Source organism: Homo sapiens, chromosome 18 (assembly GCF_000001405.40).
Source record: "Homo sapiens chromosome 18, GRCh38.p14 Primary Assembly".
In the NCBI taxonomy this organism is placed as follows: Eukaryota; Metazoa; Chordata; class Mammalia; order Primates; family Hominidae; genus Homo; species Homo sapiens.
The window spans coordinates 54,873,769-54,895,839 of record NC_000018.10 but is presented as its reverse complement, the minus strand read 5'-3'; the positions used below and the strand labels follow the sequence as shown (position 1 = coordinate 54,895,839).

General features: G+C 37.1%; 1 protein-coding gene across 9 annotated transcripts in view; it reads right to left on the bottom strand.

Annotated features, from left to right (window-relative positions):
* Positions 1-323: 323 nt before the first annotated feature.
* Positions 324-22,071, bottom strand: part of RAB27B (RAB27B, member RAS oncogene family) — a 177,660-nt gene continuing 155,912 nt past the window's right edge. For 7 of the 9 annotated variants that reach the window (XM_017025913.2, XM_017025914.2, NM_001375327.1 and 4 more), the window contains 5 exons: positions 18,102-18,273; positions 16,386-16,471; positions 11,404-11,507; positions 7,722-7,845; positions 324-6,616 (listed from right to left, as the gene is read on the bottom strand). In XM_017025913.2, the coding sequence (XP_016881402.1) occupies positions 6,427-6,616; positions 7,722-7,845; positions 11,404-11,507; positions 16,386-16,471; positions 18,102-18,254 (657 nt within the window). In that variant the 5' untranslated portion in view covers positions 18,255-18,273 and the 3' untranslated portion in view covers positions 324-6,426. The remainder of the gene's footprint in view (positions 6,617-7,721; positions 7,846-11,403; positions 11,508-16,385; positions 16,472-18,101; positions 18,274-22,071) is intronic. The other 2 variants (XR_007066208.1, XM_006722518.2) reach the window with 2 other exon arrangements.

The following is a 22,071-nucleotide window of genomic DNA, read 5'->3' as shown; positions in this document are numbered from 1 at the left end:
TATGGAGAAGAAATAGGTTATAATACGTGGAAGTGCTTATGTACTAGTGAACACTTCAACATGTTAATTGCTAAGTTTAATAAATGTTTCCTTCAAAATTATTTTAAAAATTCACTCACAAAGCCCAGTCTTTAAATAATTAATGAAAAGTTTGGAGAGGTAAGTAAAAATCACTTTGCTAAGTCCAAATCACTTATTTCCTAGTTGGGAATGGAATCCATTTTTAATGTGATACAAGTTCCATGCTAATATTGGTTTAATGTTCCCCACTCACCATACACTCAACTTCAGCACAGAAATAAAGTTGCTTTGAGTACAGAAAATAATTGATAAAAATTCATTTTTTATTTGAAAAGTGTGCAGAAACAATCACTGAATACAATTCTCAACCATAGTATTCATAGCCAGACACCAAAAAATCATTGGATGCTATGATTTCTGAAGCCACTAGAACTTTGGTACAACAAAATAATGACCTAACAGTGTGCGTCAGGAACCACAGTCTATTAAGGGGCATATAGAATAAAAACTTCAAGTTTATAGTTTTAAGTTACATTCATAGCACTAGACAAAACAGATCTATATAGGAGACAGACAAAATAATCAAACGTGCTTAGCCTAAAAATAAAGATAATATTACTTGAAGGTAAACTGTTGGGATACAATGAAGCACTTCAGTGTTATATTAGAACATCGTCTACTTTTAACACACTAACTAAAGCAGGATAATTTATTTTTTTAAAAAATAATTTCAGATACAATCAGTATCTCTTACAAGGCTATGGACACAGAAGCCCTATTTGTACATGGAATATTTTGACCAACTTGTAATATACTACCTAGAATTCATTGGTTTCCTTGAAATAAATACAAGATGACATATTTTGTCAATAATGAGATGTATTAAACATTTTCAATCAAATACAATGACTTCAAGTTGCCTTCCCATTTTCAGTTTTCAATACCTCTACTGTATGAAAATTAGTGTGTTTTCCCTGCTATGATACCTCTTTTTATATCAAGCAGTTTAAATTACAACTGTGGTTTTTTATTAGATTTTAGTTTGTGAATAGTGTCTATTTATGAAATGGAACATAATTTACAAACCACTTTCTTATACATATCTCCTTTGAGCCTGACACGAACTCTGTGAAGCACATATAAACACATACAGGGTTTATAAGCCCTATATGAGGATAAATCACTAAGCTATTTAATGACCTACTCATGGTCCCAAGTTGTTCTTTCTGGCCACTTTCCTTTCTACAACACTAGGTGTTTTCACAAGGAGCATTTGAAAACAAAATCACCTGGAAAAAGAATAAAGATAAGCATATGTTATTACTTTTCTAGGAACAGAAACCATTTTGATATGCCAACAGACATAAAGACAGAAGCCACTGATTGAATAAGGGATCCATTAAGTTAAGGTCAGACATGCTTGCTCCTACAGAATTTGCTAATAATCCTTGTAGACAAAGTCAGCTGAAGGATGTTAGCCATTACTTCCACAACCAGCTGGAAAGGAACCAGGGAATCCACTTAATGAAAAGATGACTTCTTTGTATATTTTTTTCTCAAAAGATGACAAAATAGTTCCACTATTTTGGCACTAAAGTTTTTGTTTGTTTGTTAGTGGTATTCTCTCTCTACAGGAAATGAGAAAACATCTCAACCATAGGCTGTTGATACAAAGAACTCTGCAGGAAAGCATCTTTGTGATGGTACGCCTTGAAAAACTAATCAAGTGCTTTATGAAAATATCATAAATCTAATTTATGGAAAAATTAGATTTATATGCAATAAACAAAATGTCTCTAAGTGTATCACATTTTTATGCCAACAACGAAAGGTTTTTTGTTCAGATATTTTTACTAGTTTAGTTCTGAGGGCATAAACCTCTACTTGGTAGAAGAAAATGAACAAAAAAAAACTATCTGTTACTAGGTCTTTCTTTATTCGGACTCAAAATCGACCTTTGAAGTATGACCTTCTCCAGGTTCTGCTGTATTTAAGGGCACAATTTAAACAACTTTTAACTCTAATTATCTTTATAGTTCTGGCATGACAATGTCATTGTAGTTGGGTCTCCACCCAGAAATTCTAAGGCAATACATTTATAAAATTCTCTATATATCCAACCAAAATTTGTATCAGTTCTACTTTATGAGACAAGCAGCTTCATGGATTTATAAAGCATTGAAATGACACTCATCCCAGAGAATAGCCTATATCCATTTTCATGTATAAGAGCTCAACACCTTCCCCAGAAATAAGCTGACATCACCTTGGTCAAAGATCCAGAAGAAAATATAGCTCATGGTGAATTCTTAGACAACTTTTGCAAACGTAGGCAGCATCTTGGCATCTTAAAAAATGATAAAGCTTTCTCTAAAATATTCAAATACACTAGACTTCTTTTAATGTCTTAAAGCTTGGTAGTAGAGAGGAAAAAACAACTCTTCTATCACTTTGGCAAATATCAGCTCTTAGACCTTCTTTATAAACAGTTATTATGTATCTTAGGAAACCAGAGACTTGGAATATTATTTCTTTATTGTTGAGTTTTAGATTATACATCCAAAATCCTTTACGAATGAGGATTTTTCCCTCAAACGTTTGGTGTAATATGCAATGAGGAAAGAATTGTGTATCCTTTTTAAATGAAGAGAGATGCAGAACAATGAACAACCTGTTTCATGAACACAAGGTTATACACTATGATTAACTCACCACTGCACCAGTTGCACAATATTGCTTCTCTTTCTAACTGCTGCACTCACTCCACTGGTGAAGAGACAGACAGGCTTCATCAAATTTGTTGATTCCCAGTGTACTCAATTTGCAGCTTAAAGAACATCATATTGTGGCTATTAAATTATTTTTAATGTACTCATGTCCTTCTCTATGGCAAGCATCTCTTTCTTACAAAGGGGACAAGAAAAGGCTGATTAAAACTCTCGCCTGGTTCATCTACCTGTACAGGTTGGCAAAGAACAATTTATAGTAGAAGGATGACAAAGACACCTATCTGGTTAAAAGTAACAGATAAAATGTTTACTTTAGAAATAGCTAGTTTTGAATATTTTACAGGGCGATAGCTGATAATACGAAAATGATAGCAAATTGGATAAAGTGGTAACTGGCAAGAGTTTTAAAACTCTTATGGAGAGACCCACAGGCTCAACTCTTGGCGTTTAGTATTTTCTCTGCCAATCCTTGACTTCTTATCATTATCAGACCAAGACAAACATTATGTTCTCTGGATTATTTTAGATACATTTTTCAAATGATCTTTCTTTTTCTACCCTAAAAGGTAAGCTTGTACCTAATCACAGCTAAGAGTCTCAGGTAATGCCAACTTCATAAGAAGTAAGTGAGGAGACCAAGAGAAGGCAGTTAAACTCTCCAGATTCCAATAAAGTCCTTGCATCCCTTGCTGATAATATCAGAAGATCTTTAGCTGTGTTAGTGTCTCTGTGAGGGCTTCCTATGATATAACATTATAGGAAATGAGCTATGTGGTTGGAGACAAATTTGGTCACAGAGGTATCTGAGGCACCGAGTTAGAGCAATGTAAACATCAAACCAGTGTAAATACTCCAGAAATGGTTTCTATATCAGAAAGGAGCTTCATGTACATTTTCAACATTTCTCCTAAATACGTTTTACTAAAGCATTGGGAGATACTTAGTAACAGGACATATCTTGGCTAAAATTACATGCTGTTGTGGGGTAAATTAGGGGATTTGGAAATCTTTAAAGTAGTCTGTATACTTTATGGCACCAGAACAATTTGAAATTGTAAAATGAATTACACAGAACTACTAATCCTGAAATAATGAGAGAAGGAATTTCTAATAATGATTACATAGAATCTGGGGTCAGATGTCAAACTTTATGGAGAAAATTTTTTATATCAAGCATTTATTTATAAGTAGAACAATATTTTAAATCAATTTTGTCACTTCTCATTCCTCTTGAAGTTATTACCCAATAATTGTTATTTTTACAGGAATAGTCTTGCAATTATGGGCATCATCAACCTCTGCTTCATGCTACAGCTATCAAATAATGATCTTAAAACAGACCCTGAAAAAACACTCATTAAATAACTGACAGTGACAGAATCTTGGCATAAGTAAATCAATCATATAACTGAAAATGAATAGAAACAAAAAGACATATCAAAACAGAATACTTTTAGAGTTTTATAAAGGTTTCACATTCCCTATTAAGGAAATGCAGGGGACATTACAATTTGAATCCAAAGAAAAAATTGATATAATGACCCCAAAAGTTCACCAAAATTTGCCACAGCAGTGGCAATATAACTTGTTCCTGCTCACTTTCCTTCCAGAAGAAACATCTTAAATGTTAGCTTACAGTTTTCTATCTTCATGGCACAGGCATTGAGATAATGAAGAGCATCCCAGAGGAAACACCATGGGAGGGAATACCCAGCCACAACCCATCTTCGAACCTGTTGCGATGCTGCAGAAATCAGAGGAGCTGGCCAGTTAATGCTGAGAATTTCATCAGGGGCTAACAGCATGAAAGCTTTCAAATTATTAATATTTTGATTCATGGCACATTTATGGGTCTAGTCCATCCTAAGAACATTATAAAGAGACATTTCCTTGGATCTGTCTGTGTTTCTGAAACTGATTCAATACCAGATAGAAGTTCGCAGAGGTAAGCTGAATGATGGACTGGGATTTTTAGGGTCTTCAATGTGTATAACTTCACAAAAAATATGCACAGAGTATGGAAAAAGTAGGTTTGATTGGAAAAAATCTATACGACGAGGAAACAGCCTGTCAAAAAATCATATGCTCATAATAAAAAAAAACGAAAATATATTGTCTTTGTTATTTGGTAAAATTGACTGAAATAAATAATATTTTGATAGGAATGGCTTGTGTTTATCAGAAACTAAGATTAAAAATTAATGTAATGTTAGTTTAGACACAAGAACAGAATAGGCCAATGAAAAATAATTTTGTTACTATTTTTTAGAAAGAAAAGGAAGCTTTACATTAACAAAAATACTGGCCAGTTTTTTGTTGAGATAAGATCAGAAGTCCTTCCTCACCCAATCCCCCAAAATACAGCTCAACTATAGGTGTCTTGCCTTTGGCAAAATAAAATCATATTGTAATACAGAATGAGGTATTATCAATTTTTATGTGATTAATGACATGAAAATTCAGAGTGACCATAGAATTGATCCATAATTGTTCCAAAGTTATTGATCAACAAAGTAACACACCTGCATTTCTGCAATTGATTCAAAGTCAGGAATGGGTGAAATTTGGAGGGAAGAAATATGATTTAGTTTCCAGTACTTTTGTAAACTAAAAGGAAACCTGCAATAATTGCCACTTTTTGTTTCATATCACCATCTTATTTTATCTAAAAAAAATTCAAGGCTAGTTTTCCTTGACTGCATTTTAAAAGAGATTTAATAAACCGTAACTGGTAATTTCTCCTTGTGACTATTTTATCAACATGTGCTAAGAAAAAATGAAATGTGAAGCTGAACACCAAACCAATTTCTAAAATTTTGTTTGAAATGGAAACCTCTGGAGTTCTCTTAATTCCAACTGATAATATCAGCTCCTAATTGGCTTGAGTAAAATTTGGCTAAGTAACCCTTCCAGACATCTCTAACAGATACATTGAATTTCAGCTGTAGAAATGCCAATTTCTCATACTTTCATTTTTTTTCCCAGGGTATTTGTCTTGTACTTCATCATTTACAGTCCTGTTCTTGTCAAAGTGCTATTTATTAAGAATATAAAGACGGCATTATGACACTACCTCCTGCATTTTAACAGAAGTGTGACATTTACCTATTTGTAACCTTATCAGTAATTTATTCATTCTAGTACAGCTTATTGGGTGTACATAGTATATCATTCTTAATTAGCCAAATAGAATTCTTCATTGTGTATCCATTTTTAGCTAGTACATTTTCCCCAATGCAAATCTAAAAGTATGCATCTGACTCAATATAAGAAGTAAATCCAATATTTTAGAAATTCTTCTTTCTGTGTTCTCCCTTTAGTGCCTACCCTTTTCTTCAATGTGACAGGTAACTTGTTCTGATTTAAAACTCACTGATATTTCTTCTTGTATATTGTCTTATATACTCATTTTCTCTATAAGAAAAAACAAATTGAGTATCCATGATGATGAGATCACATTGGGAAATCTTTGATCATGTTTGAAAGGGCCTCAGGGATAACTAGTCAATTCTTTTGAACACTGTTGACTATTCTGGTTTCTTAAAATAGATTTTCTGGCAGAAAAAGAAAGACATGCCATTGTGCGTGGTTTACTCAACAACAATTGTGTGGTTTGTCATTGTTTTTAAAAGTAATATTTTGGTGGGGTTCTTGATGTTCAGTTTCTATGTAGAGTCTAGCAGATACATTTCTTCTCTGGTGGCTTTTCCCCATCCAAGTTTCCAGAATTTCCACCATTGACAGTATCAGGGATTTGTGTCTTCTCCACACACTGTTCCATTCGCTTCATGATTAAGTCCAAAAGGGTTTCTACAGCTTTCTCCACATTCTGTCCAGTTGCTGCACTTGTTTCAAAATATGGTATGCTAGCATAGAAAGGATGGCAAATATTTTTGAGAGGAAGAAATCAGAACAGATACAGCAAGATGTACAAGTGAATCACACATGCAAAAACGGCTGGCTGAGAGATTGTGAAATGATTATGGTTTTGCTGGCTAAGTTGGAAAGCATCCTTGTTTTTTCCTCAGTGAGTAAAAATTGGTGAGCTGCTCTTTAGTATGATTACAACCAGTTTTATGGGCAAGGAAATTGACACAAGAGGTAGTCAGGAAGTTGAAGCCAAGGCATTATCACTGTTTAAAAAAATTAGGAGGGGAAAAATACCCTCTGATCAATAAAACTACTGACCAATGTTACTATTAAAATATTGCTTCCCTTCCACTCAATTATCTGGAAATCTCCTTTAAAAAATAGGTATGCATTGAATAAGGATATTTGTGTGAATACAGTCAATGTTTATTTGGATTTAAAAGTTTCAAGAAAGACGTGTAAATTGTACAGCTTTTAGGGAGAATTCTTCCATAAAAAATTGGCAGATATGATAAAACTACTTTAAATTTAAAGAATAATGACAGATTCTGCCACGGAAGTCAATTTACAATTACATGGGGTGTTGTTTCTGTTTTTTTTTTTAAGCTGCCATTCAAGCTCAGCTGGGATAAAGACCACATTTTCATACCCTTGTCAGGGATTATTTCTTGGAGTTTTACATCTATTGATTGAGAGGCAGAAGAATACAGTGTTTAAGAGCATGAGCTTTGATATCAGACTGTCTGGATTGAGTTTAAGCTCTGCCTGTCACTAACTGTGTGGGGTGGCCTTCCATCAGTTACTTAATCTCTCTGTGACTCAATTCTTATATATAAAATGAGATAACTCTAGTTATGATGGGTTAAAATGAGTTAATGTCTAGGAACTGTTGCTAGCACATTATAGGTATACAGTAAATGTTAGGTGCTCTTATTATTAAGTAATTCATTAATACATCATATATATCTCTCTGAAAGATCTTTTTAATCCACATGCTGTTCTTGGTTAAGGGGATTTCTTCTAATATCAATCTAATGTCTCTGCTCCATTTGCTGAACAGCAGTGTGCAAGTCACATGCCATCTCAGTGTAACTGACTTACCCATATTTGTCAGCCAGTTCCCGAGCTTGCCGTTCATTGACTTCCCTCTGATCTGGTAGGTCTGCCTTGTTGCCAATTAATACTATATCTGGATTTTCACAATAAGCATTTGCTTGCAGTTGGCCTTGAAAAGAAAGCAGATGGAACCAGCAAGTTATTGATAAATAAGTGATGTCAAATGACTGCTCTTATTCCAGATTCCTGATCTAATTGCTTATCTCCAGTTTGGTTGCTTACTAGTTATATTGGCCAAGTTACTTCCTCTTCCCAGTCACAATGTGCTTATCTGTAAAACGGAGATAACACCTTACAAATTTCAGATTATGAAGGGGACTAATAATATATATGAAACACCTGTATCAATACCCAACATTTAGTAAATGTTAGGTGCTTTTATTATTAAGTAATTCATTAATACATCATATGTATTCCTTTGGAAGATCTTTTTAATCCATGCGCTGTTCTTGCTTAAGGAGATTTCTTCTAATAATATATATGAAGCACCTCTGTCAACACCAAACATTTAGTAAATGTTAGGTGCTTTTATTATTAAGTAATTCATTAAAACATCACATATATTCCTCTGGAAGATCTTTTCAATCCATGTGCTATTCTTGGTTAAGGGGATTTCTTCTAATAATACATAATACACATACATAATAATAAATAAGGGGATTTCTTCTAATAATACAGCATATCTTCTAATAATACATACCAAGTTGCTAGCACATAGTAAGTATTCAGTAAATACGGAATACATCTGGGGAAATGCTCCCTGAGATGGCCATAACTGCTTCACACCATTTGTTCCTCAAATATAGATGGAGGTAAATAGAACATGATTTTTAAGTGGGTAAATTTGTTTTTTCCTTTAGGAAGTTGTTACCTTTCCTTTCTCTAACCTCCGAAATGATGATCTATAGTGTGGAGCATTTTTTAATCACTACAAATTCATGTAGAAACAATTTTAAGACCAGTAATTTGTTTTTCTCTTTTCTCCAAAAAACACTATGTGTGGGCGGAGGGGGGAGGAGAGAGAGAGAAAGAGGAGGGAGGGAGGGAGGGAAGTAAGGAAGGGAGGGAGGGAGGGAGGGAGGAAGGGAGGGAGAGTTGGCGAGGGGAGGGCAGGGCAGGGCAGGAAGGGCATGGTAAGAAAAAAAGGGAAAAAAATATAAGAAACCTGTCAAGCTGTGTTTTTGAGGTTACAGAGGCTGCTCTAATGTCTATCATAAGGCATGCTGTGTGCTACCTTGCCAAGACTAGAGGAAGAAGACAAAGAAAGGCTAACTCTGTAACACCAATTACTTGGGTGTTAAAAATTAAAGTGTTATTAGGCATGACAATTAATTATCTTAAATCTCAGCAATATCCTTCTGGAGACGTTTAAAAACAAGGGAGACTCTCATCTGCCTTGAAAAAGGATAAACAAACCATTCTCTGAAAGAATTTAATAAGCTTATTATCTCCTTGTCTCCTGGGAATCTAAAGCTACCACCAAAATTTGGGTAATGAAATACAATATTAAATGGAAATAAAGGACAGATCCTAAGATAAACGTTCATTTGGAGAAGCAATTATGAAAGTCAGAATTTGTTTCCCCATTAGTTACAAGGTTATTGAACCCACACCGAGAGTGGTTCTATATAATTATTATATATAATCATGAATTATATACAAAATACATTATCAATTTTGCATAATATGTAGTGATAAGAAATATATCTATTTTGAGCATCTACTCTGTGCCAGGCACTCACCCAGGTATGGCATATTGCATTGAAATAAAATGGAAAAGTCTGCACTCTCATAAGAGCTTACATTCTAGTGGTAGAAAGCATCAAAAACACAAGTAAACCAAAAATACATCACATCATGTCAGGTGATGGCTGGGACTGAATGAACTCTAAAGCGTGTTGAGGGGATACAAAGTGATGAGTACTATTTCAGATGGGGTGGTCAGTCAAGAGACAAATAAGGTTTGGGTAAAACTTGAAGTGGGTGTAGAAGTGATATGGTTTGGATCTATGTCCAACGTTGAAATGTAATCCCCAATGTGGGAGGTGGGGCCTAGTGGGAGGCAACTGGATCCTGGGGGAGTATTTCTCATGAATGGTCTAGCACCATCCCCTGGTACTGTTCTCATGATAGTGAGTTCTCATGAGGTCTGGTTACTTAGAAGTGTGTGGCACGTCCCCCTTTGCTCACTTGCTGCTCCTGCTATGTCAGATGTGCCTGCTCCCCCGTCACCTTCCCCATGATTGTAAGTTTCCTGAGTCCTCCCCAGAAGCCAAGCAGATGCCAGCCACATGCTTCCCATACAGCCTGCAGAACTGTGAGTCAATTAAACCTCTTTTCTTTATAAATTACCCAGTCTCAGGAATTTCTTTACAGCAATGCAAGAATGAACTAACACAACAAGTAAACCAAAAAATACATAACACATTATCAGGTGATGGCCATGACCTATAAAGTGTGTTGAGGGGATACAGAGTGATGAGTACTATTTTAGATGGAGTGGTCAGTCAAGAGGTAAATAAAGTTTGGCCAGAACTTGAAGGGAATGAAGAAACTAGCACAGGGCTGTAAATGAGAGAAGAGAAAAAAGATAAAGGGAATGGCAAGATTTTCATACTGGGAATAGCATGTGAGGCAGTTTGGCTGAAGGCTAGTGAACGGGGCCCAAGTAAGAGGGAATTACGGAGGAAGCCCAGACATCATCACAGTGACCTTGTAGGTAAGTGAAGGACTCTGGATTTTATTCCGGGTAAGATGGAAAGTTACAGAAGGACTCTGAGCAGGAAAATAACATGATCTAGTTTTTAAAAAATACAACTCTAGCTACAGATGGCCCAGACAAATCTGGAAATGATAAGAGCAGCCCCATAGGACGACTCAGCTGTCCTGCTACTTGTATATCCTGCTAGGATCAAAATTCTTATTTGTAATAAAAAATACAAATGAAATATGCCCTTTATTATGACATCAAGTAAAACAAAGGAAAATTCCAATACTTCTCTCCTGTGGTGATGTATGTCAATATGACTTTAGTAATTGATTAGGCAACATTTCAATTTGTACTATATCGAAGTTTCCACAGGGGCTGGAGATTTGTCTTTACATGGTTTCCTCACATTTGAACCCCTTTTTAAAAGTAAAATTCCCAAGCGAGCTGACTGACTGACACACTGTGCTATGCCTCACCTTATCATCATGCGACTGGTCTGCTCTGGTTTCACACCTAATTAACCCACTAGTGTTTAACACACCTTCAGTGCCAGTGTCCCCTCAGAAAATACTGCCGATTTTCCCTGTGATCTCCCCAGGTCAAATGTAGTAGCTCACTTAGTTTTAAGAAGTCCTTCAAGACTTACTGGAAAAGTGGAATCAATGGCCTTTCAATGACAATAATAAAGATCTTAAATACAAGTGGTGATAAAGCTACATAGGCTTCCTCTAAAAATATCAATTTTTAGATATTTAGAAAATACTATTCCAAGCTACCTAGGGTGGTCCACATAAAGGCCACCACTTTGAAGGTGACACAGTGGCACAGGCAACACTAAACTCATGACTTTGAAAGTTAATCTGTGGTACCCAATCTGGTTTCATCTTGCAAGACCAACAAGCACCTAAGGCAGTTGAGTCCCAAAGCGGCCAATGCACATTACTCAGTCCCACTTACTCATCCAGTTTCTGACATTTAAGAAGCTCTGTTGACTGGTGAGGTCAAACATTAATAAGAAGCCCATGGCGTCTCTGAAAAATGCAGTGGTGAGACTCCGGAACCTGCCAAGGAAACACAGTGGGTAGTTCTGAAAGTTAGTCCACATATCTTTGACAACAACACAAATAACAGTTTCCCTTTCAGGTATGAATTCTCCGTGACTGGCCCTTATGGAATATCTTAGGGAAATGGGAATGTGGGCAGAGAAATTGCTGAAGAACCAAGAGAGAAGATTTGGTTGTAGTTTTTTTTTTTAAGACCACTTCCTGGCTTTCTGATCTCACAGCACTTTATACACACAGTTTGTAACATTCAATCATGGATTTGCTTACACAGCTTCTTGGAATCTTTTTGGCTCGTGGGCATTTTGTGGTCCACATTTAAAATGTAAAGCACTTTAGAGTGGGGACTTTAACCTATACTTTCCATCTTTCTTGTCTGTGCCCAGAAGAAAGCTTGGCACACAGTAGCCTGAAAATGAATGCCTGTGATGATATGAAGGAAACCGCAACTTGTTAGCTACAGGAATTGGAATTCTTTTGTAAGGAAGAATATTGATGACAAAACTCTTTTCAAAAAGCACTGTTTGGGGGTAAAACTGAGCTTCAGGTTGGCATCTAGGATTCACGAGGAAAAGGAAGATGATTGGAGGACTGAGTGGGGGTCAGGACAGAAAAGAGACATAGTCATTGGGGAAAGAAGGAAAGAACTCTCATTTCTAATGAGGATTTTAGAGAATTTGCTCTTTCGTGTGCAATGCAAAGTTTTTCCCTGCCTGGTCAGCTTTCCATGCCCTCACCCCCGACCCCAGCCACCACCAACCATCTTCAGTGAAGTTAAAGATGTGCTGAGATTCACTTCAATAAGAGCAATGGGCAAAACCAGAGACCACATGTAGGGACCAGAGAAGGTTTTGAATTTGGCAATGGGTTTTTAGAAAGGCACATAACTTTGAACTAGAGATATCGCTTCCTATCCTAAATGTTCTTCTAATTTTTGGTCTCCTATTTTAGCCTTTTTATAGATCCTTTGTGTTGGTTTCCTCAGAGGTCTATTCTTGACCCCTCTTACTCTATATACATTGACTGGATAATCTTATCCACTTCCGTGGCTCATTTGTAGCCTGTGTGTTGAGAAGCCCAAAATTAGAGATCCAGATGTTCCCTGCCTTTCACATTAGATGCCTAATTACTTGTTGGATACTTCCAGCTGGTGGAAACTCAGGCATCTCCAACTTCATACATCCAAAACCAAACTGGCCACTCTTCCTAATTTCTTTTTCTGTTTATGACATCACCACCCTTCTGGTTGCCATGATCCCTTCCTCCTTCACCTGGTGTCTACAGTTAACATATATCTTTCGACCTTCTCATTTCTGGCCATCTACTCTGCCACTACTCTACTTCCAAACCCATTCTCTCTCACCTGGACAACTTCAACAGCTTTCTGATTAGGCTTCCCGTGTCCAGTTTTGTTTGGGACCCTACTCCTATCACCACTCCATTTCTTCCCATAGATTATATCAATGCTCTACTAACGACATTTTAATGATTAGACATCACTCGTAAGGTAATGCACAAACTCCTTACAAAGCTGGCAAGGCTCTGCAGGAAGTGATCTTTGTTCATCTATCCAACTTCATCCCTTTGACTACCCACAGACATGCTGATCTTCTTTTAGTTCTTAGAAAGTTCACTCTGCTCCCCTGGGCTTTCACACATGCTGGTCTTTCTGTGGGTTACTTAGTCTTAGTGCTTCCTTTTCTTCCTACCCCTTCGTTGAGCCTGGATAGCACTCACTCATACATTGTGCATGAGCAAATACATAATGGTATCAGAGGAAATAACACTTCCCGAAGGGGCCTTCCCAACACTGCATGTGGGCTATGCGCTCCTCCTGGTGGGCCTGCCTATGTCTTTGTTTTCCTGTTAGTATCCTAAGGCTCCATTGCGATTGTTTATTCATCCAAATTCTACCCTAGACTGTAAGCTCTAAGGGGAAGGGAGCTGTGTTTCTAACTTGCTATCCATCATATTTTCATGGCTCAGAACCTGGTATTTGCTCACTAAATATTTGTGAAGTTAAACAGTGCAAGTGAAAGAAAGAAACAGTAAAAGATATACAATTATTAAATATTTTAAATGACTGCAACAGAGAATGATACTTTTCATACCAAAAGATGGGAGAAGAGATATTTTCACTGCTATTTATTTCCAAAGTAGGATTTGTCTGTAGGGCATCATCATGATCTAAAACTGTAGAGCAGAAATACCAAAAAAATTTATTCAATTTTTTCTTGTGGATTTGTTTCTACCATTCCTTGGAAGCCCACAGAGATTATAGTGCTTTGATTGAATAATTCTCCCTCTTTGGAAACTAGCTGTACCCACAAAATTGTCTCCTACTTGACCATAATTGTGTCATGCCAGGAAAACTGCTCTTTGTTCTCTCCTTAAGTGTGTGTGTCTCATTTGAGAACAAAACTGTGTGTTATTCCCTCTCATTGCCCAGAGCGTATGACAAAGTTACTCAAAAACATGCTTGCTGTAGTGATCTGTTTGGGGCAAACAATTTCTCCTCCCCAGCAGGATGGATAGGACACGCTTGTTCCAGAGCAGTAACAGACATCTTGCTCTATTCTGTCCAGTATCTTTGATATCCCCCATTTCCCCCACGGGGAGACAAGTAATTCATTTCCAGCCTCCCCCACCCATCTCATTCTGTCTATTGAGTCAGCAGGGTGGAGGAACCAGTGAAACCATGTTCCAAAGAGTTACAGAAACCAATGATGAACAGAAATTGAGTTTGCAGGATGGCAGATAAAGAAGGAAATAACTTGCTGAAACACTGAAACTCCCTCTGCTTATAAGATAAGAGAACTGGCTGAAATCGACTGGAACCGATATGGCCGACTGGAATCTGTACAGAATGAGCTTGCTAATGTCACAGCCTGAATTTCTACCACATGTTTCATACTAACTCCCCTTGAATTTCCACACGTGACCCCTGAGATAGAATGCAGAGATAACTGCCCACGTCCAAGGACTTTCCAGCCCTCCCCTTTAGAACCCACCCCTGCCACAACTTTTTCTAATAAAACTACTACTTCAAAAAGCCAGAACAAAAAGACAGATTTGAGCTTGACCCTCCTGTCTCCCTGCAAGTCGATTTGCAATAAAACCTTTCTTTTTCTCAAAATCCAGTGTCATAGTATTGGCTTCTAGCGCATTGAGTGATGAGCCCCTTTTGCTCCAGAACACTAGGATCACAGAAGAAACAGACCCCAAAGCTACATTATCACTCCTCCCCCTCACTGGGAATGAAGTCTGTGCCTTGTATCCTTTAAGTTTCCTTAAGGGCCATGTGTTTTCTCTTCCTTCCCATGATGTGACTTCTATCAATACCCATTATCTTACATGGATTGCACAGCCAGATGTCCTTAGGCACAGGGCTGAGGTGTGAGGCATTGTTTATCTTGTTGCTTAGTTACACCTTATATATACACAGAATGCAAAATTCTCAAGTGATGAATAACCCAAGTGTTCTGAAGCCTGCCCTGAGTATTCCCCATTTCCCCCATACAGCAGCTGCCTTCAGGGGACAGACAGAGAAGGCTGCCATCATGCAAGGCTGACATATCATGTGCGAGGACATATGGGAACCACATTTTCTCATATTACTTCTTCAAAAATGAATTAAAGTGCTCTGTAAAACATACATCTTTGTGACAACAAAACTGACATATGAACAGAGATTCTTGTGAGGAATGGCTTCAGAGGAACCAGCAGTGTTGAAGGGTGTGTGTAAATGGAATTCACAGTCAAAAAAGCTAACAGAGAGGGCCCAGCACCTCTCCTGGCATTTACACTCGCTAAAAGCGAGAACGCTTTGGATGCATTTCAAAGATGGAAGTGTTTACAAGCATAAGCATTCTAAGACACACGATGCAGGATTTGGAGGTATGTGCCTTCTAAATATCCTCTCTGCCAATTTTTTGCCACTTTTAATTTAATCTAATATTGAAAAGCTTCATTAGCTTGGGGTCTTTTGCACTTTGAAATTTTGGATCCCTTTTGTTTTTCCATCTAACAATGGAATAGTACCTCCAGCTCTAAGGAATTAACACTACTGTCTACCGAGTATTAGCTTGGACACTGTACCAGAGACAATGCTGGAAAGCCAGGCAAGATCTCCACACCTGTAAAGATGACAATTTTGTTGGAGTGAGAAGGCCCCAAGTGAATCAGTGAACAACAGTTAAAGATACAAATAGAATGTTCATTTCATGACAAGGTGGCATATAATTATTTAGACCTTAAGGGTGAAATAACCGGTGTCTGCAGTAGTTCAGAGTAAAAGTGGGAGTTTGTTTCAGCTGGGATGTTCAGACAGGCTTCATAGAAGAGAAGAAATATGAGCTGGGCCTGGTACAAGGAGAGGATCAGGAAAAGTGGGAAGGAGTAAAATATTCTAGCTGGAGGGCAATTGTTTTAAGATCAAAGTCTGAAAGGACAAAGCCAGTCGCATGGCATGGGACAAAGAGGCTGTGCTGAAATAACAGAAAGAGACAAGGAAGATCTTAACACCCTTTCTTCAACTCCCTCTTCAAGTAGCACTTATAACGGCGTTAATTTCCCATCTTCATTCAATTAAATTCTGGAGAACCTTTTTTTCCTTCTAAGAAGTGCAAAGACAGTGCATAGCAAGAATCTTCAGAGAGATTTTTGAAAGTCTGATTTTTGAAATTCATACCAACTGCACAGTGCTACTGTGATTAATTAATTACAAATCATTTATTTTTATTTCTGGATACAAATGTCTATTTTGAAACCAGGAGAAGAGTTGAATATTATTTGTTTTTCAAGTTCACATACAGAATTCATTTTAAAGTAAGTTTTTCTAAGCTATGTGTAGCCACAAATAAAGCAATTTACTATTACCGCTCTTGTCCCGCAGTGTCCCAAAGCTGAAGATGCACTTTAAATGCTTTCCCTGAAGATCCATTCGGTCCTTGTGCATTATAAACCTGAAAGATACAACGTTCATTAGTTGAGGTTGCTTTGGATTTTGTCAGCACTCAAATTCTTTGGGTTCACTCAGCATGTTTTTTTCTCAATTACTATAATCAAAGTTCATAGTGCAGAATAAATATTTGCTTTATTTTTTTCCAGAATTATCACATGTACTCTCACTTTTAAATGTCAAGTGCAAGTATGATTTTCAACACAGTTTAGGCATATTGCAAACTTAAATTAGACACCTTCTGTCATTTCCTCATGAGGCAGCAAACATCAGATTTAGGACCCAAGTTCTAGGTTCAAATACAAACTCTTCATTTAACCTCTTTGAGTCTTATTTTCTTATCTCTAAATTGAGACCCATAACCCCTTCCTGATTTACAGAGTTACTTCAAACTGCACACTTCAGTGAAATCACAGATGGTAAAAGCAGTTTTTTTAAAACAGTAAAGTGCTTTACAAATATCCGAATATCTTTTACTGTGAAATGGACTTTCAAAATGACTTAGCCATGAAATATGCACAGACTTTCTCAATAAGTTGACACAGGACATTTCAAGCCTTTCTTCACTAATCATTTAGTCAAAGGCTCTTTTTAGGTAAGTTTAATTTTTTTAAAAAAATTCTGGCCTTTTTATTGTTTAAGCAAAGCCTAAAAGATGTAATATTTACTCAGTTTCCTTAAGTATAGTTTAGTGAATACGTTTTAAAGGGAAAATTCTGCCAGGACATATACCCAGATACTGGAAAGGAGAGAAGGCAGGAAAACCCTGAATGGGTTGTCAGGGAGTTTGCTAAGCCTACACAACCATGTATTGACTTTCAGATCAGGTCCAGCACATTATAAAAAAACCGTGATTCAACTTCCCAGGCAATGGCTTCCAGTTACCATTTCTTTTGTTTTCTTTCCCAATTCTCAGGGAATGAGTAGATTTGTGACATCAACTGGAAGCCACAGCCATCTTGGCAATCAAGAATACCCAGGGTGGCAGTAAATCTGGCCTAGCTTCTGTGCCTATGCTACACATCTCACATGTCACAATATCCTTATTCCTGTCAATAGCGTCTAGCATAGGAGAAGGAAGTGGTTGTGATTCTCACTTAAACTCTCTTATCTTGGAAAACAGCATGATTGGTCTCACATTCTGTTCATAAGAAGCCAGTGATTGATGGCTGAGTCTACACATAAATAAAAATGCAGCAAGAGCTTACAAAGCTCATGTTCCAGATATTTGCCAATCATACTTTTAACTTCTTTCTTAAGAGTAGGGAAATGATCACTTGCTCTTATTGAGGACTTTAACTCAGATCAGAGTTAATGTTTTTAAATTCTAATAATTCAAGTTTTGAAAGATTTCTTAAGAATTTGTAGAAAACACACTATGCAAATCAGTAAAATATTGATTTGGGTTGCCTTGTACACTTTGGGAGACAAGAGAGAGTGCCACTTAATACTTTTCTAGGAAAATGTTATTTATAGTTGAAAAGTAGTAAATAATATTCTAAAATAAATTAAAATGACAGGTTATGAATTTCGTGTGACAAAAGACAGACTCCAATGCAATAAACATAGCTTCTTGATTCTTATTTTATATAGGGGGATGAGTGACAAGGTTAGAAGTACGATTAAAAACTCACCACACGTTTTTCCCGAAAGTCTATTCCTACTGTAGTGATGAATTTGGGATTGAATTTATTATCTGTGTATCTATAAAGAAATGTTGTCTTCCCCACCCCTGAATCCCCGAGGGCCAGGAGTTTGATCAGATAATCATAGTCTCCATCGGTCATAGTGATGGTCTTGGTCGGTCTGTATAGGAGAGGGAAAACAAGTATGTTTTGATTAAAGTTGATTTTCCTTTGCTTTATATCAAAATATGACATAAATTTAATTTTCAGGGTTAAAAAGTTGAATACCTCTATTCTGCCATATTTGAAATTAACTTGATCAAAGCAGCTTTAGGGGTGAAGGCACATCTAATGTTTTACTCAGTACAAATCTTTTTACCACATATCACCTAATACGGAAAAATATGCAAAATATCAATTGCCACAGTGCATTAGTCTGTTCTCATGCTGCTGTAAAGAACTGCCTGAGACTGGATAGTTTATAAAGGAATGAGGTTTGACTCATAGTTCCACATGGCTGGGGAGGCCTCAAGAAACTTACAATCATTGCAGAAGGAATCTCTTCACAGGGTGGCAAGAGAGAGAATGAGAGCTCAGCAAAGGGGTAAGCCCCTTATAAAACCATCAGATCTTGTGAGAACTCACTATCATGAAAAAACATGAGCAGCATGAGGATAAATGCCCCCAGGATTAAATTACCTCCCACTGGGTCCCTCCCATGAAACATGGGGATTATGGGAACCACAATTCAAGATGACATTTGGGTAGGGACACAGCCAAACCATATAACACAGCAATAGTAGAACTTAAAGTAAAAAGTTATAGACTTGTGTTTTAAAACCAGTGCATTTGGGATTAGAGGATGGTATTAGGAAGAGGAGAGAGTCACAGGGAACAGAAAACCCAGTCCAAGACGATGCAGATATCCTACAGAGAGACATCACTTATAGACAGATAATGGAATAAAAAAGCAGAGGGATAAGTTTTGCATCTATCCATGCAGGATGAGCCTTCTATATAATCTGTATACAAATTATTCCTTTTTAATTTAAAACATTTAACAACTGACATGACAAGCTTTAATCCTGTACCAGTAACACCGAGAATACCAGGACATGTATTTGAATGACACAATTACCTACTTGGTGAAATCTCCACTCCTGAGTTGAGCAAAATAATTTACTGCTCGGTACAACTTCCTGAATCATGGGCTATATTAATTGAAATGGGTTTGTCATATCTCATGTAAAGGAAGGCCTATGAAGATTTTTCTAGAATGCAAAGGTTTATCTCAGTATTATGTGACAGGGAGGAAGACTTCTCCACCTCTGAAGATTCAGAAAACACTGTATTCTTGAAGCATTCTGGGGTAATCAAAATTAAATTTCAACAACAGCCTATTCTATGGACATGATATGGTTAGGCTTTGTGTCCCCACTCAAATCTCATCTTGAATTGTAATCCCCATAATCCCCACATGTCAAGGGAGAGACCAGGTGGAGGTAATTGAATCATGGGGGTGGTTTCCCCCATGCTGTTCTCATGATAGTGAGTGAGTTCTCATGAGATCTGATGGTTTTATAAGGGGCTCTTCCCCCTTTGCTATCTCTCTCTCTCCGGCTGCCTTGTGAAGAAGGTGCCTAGCTTTCCCTTCACCTTCCACCATGATTGTAAGTTTCCTGAGGACTCCCCAGCCACGCTAAACTGTGAGTCAATTAAACCTCTTTCTGTTATAAATTACCTAGTCTTGGACAGTTCTCTATAGCAGTATGAAAATGGACTAATAGAGGACATATCTAAAATCACTAGATAATTCTAATAACTTTTTATGTGTAAAAAAATTGGTACATGTACATGTACAAAAAATTAAAACAATTTTTTGTTTTTATATTGTTACTTTAGTCACCAATCAAAACTGAAAACTTTTGCGTCTTTGGGTAAATAATAATGAAGAATAGAATGAGGTACTCATCAAATAATCCAGTATCATTATATCATTTGGAATATTTGCATTGCTTTACGTTATACTTTATTATGAATGTATGTTTCTTTCATGAATTAATGCTTTTTGAGGTAGGATGTTTTTAAAGCTGCAAATTCATACTTTTGCTCTAAAGCTTTCCTGCCATATAACACACTTTCTTCACTAGCAGAGCTCTCTGGATGGATTTTTGCTGACCATGGATGTTCTCAAAAAAAAAAAAAACCTAGACAAAGCATAATCATTTCTTAGGAAGAGATCCATAGCACCCATCAAGACCCGTCTTCCTTAATAAAAGGATACACATGTCTCAATTATTGCCATGAAGGATACACATGTCTCAATTATTCCAATACAGACATTGGAAAATGTCTATTTTGTGTGACTGCCAAGAATGGACTGGTTTCTCAGATTCTCCAAAAAAAAATTTGTTTTTGGAGAAGACAGGATCTCACTCTGTCATCTAGGCTAAAGTGCAGTGGCATGATCAGGGCTCACTGCAGCATCGACCTTCCCTGGTTTAGGTGATCCTCCCAACTCAGCCTTCCTGGTAGCTGGGACTACAAACACACGCCTCCACACCTGGTTATTTTTGTGTGTATTTTTTGTATAAATGGGGTTTTGCTATGTTGCCCAGGCTGGTTTCAAACTCCTGGGCTCAAGCAATCCACCCATTTCAGCTTCCGAAAGTGCTGGGATTACAGACATGAGCCACCACGCTCAGCCTGGTAAAATATTTTACCAGGACTGTATCATTGAATATGTTGCTGCTCTTATTCTTAGTTGCTGCTCTTAGTCAACCCAAATAGATAGCTAGAGAAGTTTTCTGCCATAGTATGATTTCCCCCCACACTTAAGGTCTGTTATCACCATCACTCTACCTTTTTCCCTCTTCCCCTAAACTTGCTCATGTAAAACTATTTTGGAGGGTGATAATGTTTGTCATTTCACTAGTAGAATTGGATGAAACTGTTAATTTTCAGAAAAAAGAAAGTGCTTAAATTTATTATACGATATTAGTAACTAAAGCCAAATTCTTCCCTAGGCAAAAGCCTTAATTTTTTTAGCAGTTTTTGCAGTGGGGGTGTGAAATTGAAGACATTGGATTTCGTGGCTCCCAGAAAAAGTGAAAAGAATGGAGTCAATAAGACACATCTACATACTTTAAAATTTTGCTTAAAGCTAACTTTTTTTTTTTTTTTTTAGCAAATGTGTGTGTATGAATGCGTGACAGTCTCAAGAAACACTAAGTCATGAGCAAATCTAGTTAAATGTCTTCAATACGTAGTGTCAGGCCCAAAGATGAAAATTTTAAAAATGGAAGTTCTAGTCTAGCTTCTGACAAGGTCTGAATTACTTAAAAGTGAAATAAGGATCTGAGAAAATACAACGTAATTTTGCAAGGTAGAATGATTAATTGATAAATGAGTCAAATCCTGGTTGTGTTTTCAATTCAAACAAAACAGTGTCTTCAGGGACTGCAGTGATCCAAGAAGACTGCAGAGGAAGGAAAATTTGCATTTAACCTTATAGCGTGGAGGGGAATTAGACATGAGGAGAGGAGATACAGGACCATAGCATGGGAGATTACTTCCCACTTGTAGAATGAGACTATTACCACTTGCTAACTACACGACCTATCATGTTTTCCTGATTGGCAGCCAGACTGTTCTCTGTCTTTTGTACATAAACCTGCCTGGGGCAATACTGGTGCCACCTCCCAGTCAAAGTCTAATCCAGAGTGAACAATCCAGGCTAACACAAATCAATTCCACTGTGGCCCACATTGCCTCTTTTCTATAAGTGAAGGGTGCTGGACACTTCCTGACATTTAACACAAATTCCACCTGAAATGAATGCAAAGCTTGGCACTGTGGAAAAATCTTCATTTTTCCAATAGGCTATTTGACATATTAAGCTAGGTATGAGACAGTTCACTTCTAAGCTCCTTTCAAAAATGAATTTTATTTCTTATTTTTTATATCACTACTCTCCTCT